The 3,102-nt window shown below is 46.9% G+C and overlaps 1 annotated feature.

Annotated features, from left to right (window-relative positions):
• Nucleotides 1,894-2,432: an enhancer, noted in NCBI's record as "NANOG-H3K27ac-H3K4me1 hESC enhancer chr3:144975727-144976265 (GRCh37/hg19 assembly coordinates)". NCBI's record gives its function as "activates a minimal SCP1, AML or CMV promoter by ChIP-STARR-seq in naive H9 embryonic stem cells {active_cell/tissue: H9 hESC(naive)}" and the evidence as "EXISTENCE:reporter gene assay evidence [ECO:0000049][PMID:30033119]".

Genomic DNA, 3,102 nt, shown 5'->3' with positions numbered 1-3,102 from the left:
TTCCCATAATCCCCATAATCCCAACATGTCAAGGGAGAAACCAGGTGAGGTGATTGAATCATAGGGGTGGTTTCCCCCATGCGATTCTTATGATAGCAGGTGAGTTCTCACAAGATCTGATGATTTTATAAGTATTTGGTAGTTCCTTCTGTGTTCATTCTCACTGTTGCTGGTAAAGACAGGAGACAGCCAAATGCTGCCCAGGTAATTGTACATTGGTGGCTTGCCTACACATGCCTATGGTGAAAAATTCCACCCTTAACACATGTGTAGTAAGAAAAATAAATCAATGTGGAGTGGCTGAGACTAAGGGCCCACCTGCACACTGGGAGAATGGGGTGGAGCCACTGGGAAGTCATACCTTATTCAGTAGGGGGGAGCCTCATCTCTTCAGCTGATGTGTGATGGCCTAGTATTCAGTCTTTGAGGTGGGAGCCTGTTGGCAGGACCCCACTCTTGTTTTCTGAGAGCTTTTTAAAAATAAATTCCACTCTCCTCACCTTTCAGTGTGTCCATGTGCCTAAGTTTTCCTAGTATTGAGACAAGAACCTAAATTTTAGCTGACGTAGGGAGCAAAAAATTCTGCATCATTTTGGTGCCATACAAGGATATGAGAAAATGTGAGTAAAATGCAGACCAAAAAATCTCTTTCCCTTTCATTTTTGAGCTTTTTCTTGTCAGCAGACTTCTTCTGAGGATAGAGGAAACTGCACCCAGCAACCTGCCAAAACTCTCAGGATTTAGGAATGTTGGCCTCGCTCAAACTCCATCATTTCTATGATATTTTTCTTCTATTTGGGACTGTAATGGCACCTATCTTATCTTTACCCTAATGGCCATAGGTGTGCACATGGGACAAACAGGAGAGCCGTGGCTCACCTCACCTTCCCTCACAGCTGGGGATGGGACACATGGCCCAAGGCCCCCCTATACAGCAGGCTGGCCAGTGTTCCCTGCCAGGAGTCCACAGTGTCTCCCCCTTCCCCAGCCAAAGAGTCTGGCTGGATGGAGCCCCAGGGAAGAAACAGCAATTAAACTTTTCTCTCCCTTTTGGAGAAGCTCATTTGCATAAGAATAGGAAGGTCTTCCTCAAGACATCTTTCCAGCCCTGCACTTTAAGTTGTTTTTTTATTTTCTACACTCTGTCAGCAGTTAACACAGCCCTGCAATTTCAGCTGGTTTTTTTTTTCTATTCCCCACTAGACCAGGAATTAACTTTTATGTGAGAGGCCTTTTTCTTTTTTCCTTTTAGAAGATGTATTAGTAGGCCAGGACCCCAACTATCACTGTTTATATTCTCTGTAAAGTTTTAATTATAAAAAATGATTTGTGACGTATGTCTTAAGCTGCAGCCAATCTGGTGTGCTTTGTGTGTCTTTCTGTATGATTCTGTCAGAAAGAGGGATACCTTAGGAAGGAATGTAGGCCTATGACTCCATAACCCTGTTGTTCAAGCCAGCCCAGCAAACTGTTCAATGGCAAACTTTGCTGCAGACCTACATCTTGTTTTATGTCCTTGGAAGTGTGACATGTAACCATGTGGCAGTGCTTTGTTTTAGCCTCCTGCATTTTGTAATGGTGGCCCAGGTTCAATCTTGGCTTAGGGAATGAGTCCTTTCTGTTTTGATATCTATGTGAACTTTACCATTTGTTGACTCTCTTCCCCTCCATGAACCGCCTTAAATTTTTTTTTCTCTCAGCACCTGGGAAGTTACCTTTAGTAAACCTTGAAAGCCAGAAATATTGATGGATGGCCGAATAGGAACAGCTCCGGTCTACAGCTCCCAGCGTGAGTGACACAGAAGACGGGGGATTTCTGCATTTCCATCTGAGGTACCGGGTTCACCTCACTAGGGAGTGCCAGACAGTGGGCGCAGGTCAGTGGGTGCGTGCACCGTGTGCGAGCCAAGGCAGGGCGAGGCATTGCCTCACTCGGGAAGCGCAAGGGGTCAGGGAGTTCCCTTTCCCAGTCAAAGAAAGGGGTGACAGAGGGCACCTGGAAAATCAGGTCACTCCCACCCGAATACTGCGCTTTTCCGACGGGCTTAAAAAACGGCGCACCAGGAGATTACATCCCGCACCTGGCTCGGAGGGTCCTACGCCCACAGAGTCTCGCTGACTGCTAGTACAGCAGTCTGAGATCAAACTGCAAGGCAGCAGCTAGGCTGGGGGAGGGGCGCCCGCCATTGCCCAGGCTTGCTTAGGTAAACAAAGCAGTGGGGAAGCTGGAACTGGGTGGAGCCCTCCACAGCTCAAGGAGGCCTGCCTGCCTCTGTAGGCTCCACCTCTGGGGGCAGGGCACAGACAAACAGAAACACAGCAGTAACCTCTGCAGACTTAAATGTCCCTGTCTGACAGCTGTGAAGAGAGCAGTGGTTCTCCCAGCATGCAGCTGGAGATCTGAGACTGCCTCCTCAAGTGGGTCCCTGACCCCTGACCCCCGAGCAGCGTAACTGGGAGGCACCCCCAGCAGCGGCAGACTGACAGCTCACACGGCTGGGTACTCCAACAGACCTGCAGCTGAGGGTCCTGTCTGTTAGAAGGAAAACTAACAAACAGAAAGGACATCCACACCAAAAACCCATCTGTACATTACCATCATCAAAGACCAAAAGTAGATAAAACCACAAAGATGGGGAAAAAACAGAGCAGAAAAACTGGAAACTCTGAAAAGCAGAGCGCCTCTCCTCCTCCAAAAGAATGCAGTTCCTCACCAGCAACAGAACAAAGCTGGACAGAGAATGATTTTGACGAGCTGAGAGAAGTCTTCAGATGATCAAATTACTCCGAGCTATGGGAGGACATTCAAACCAAAGGCAAAGAAGTTGAAAACTTTGAAAAAAATTTAGAAGAAGGTATAACTAGAATAACCAATACAGAGAAGTGCTTAAAGGAGCTGATGGGGCTGAAAACCAAGGCTGGAGAACTACGTGAAGAATGCAGAAGCCTCAGGAACCGATGTGATCAACTGGAAGAAAGGGTATCAGTGATGGAAGATGAAATGAATGAAATGAAGCGAGAAGGGAAGTTTAGAGAAAAAAGAATAAAAAGAAATGAGCAAAGCCTCCAAGAAATATGGGACTATGTGAAAAGACCAAATCT

Source organism: Homo sapiens, chromosome 3 (genome assembly GCF_000001405.40).
Source record: "Homo sapiens chromosome 3, GRCh38.p14 Primary Assembly".
NCBI classification, from domain to species: Eukaryota; Metazoa; Chordata; class Mammalia; order Primates; family Hominidae; genus Homo; species Homo sapiens.
This window is presented reverse-complemented; position numbering and strand designations above follow the sequence as displayed.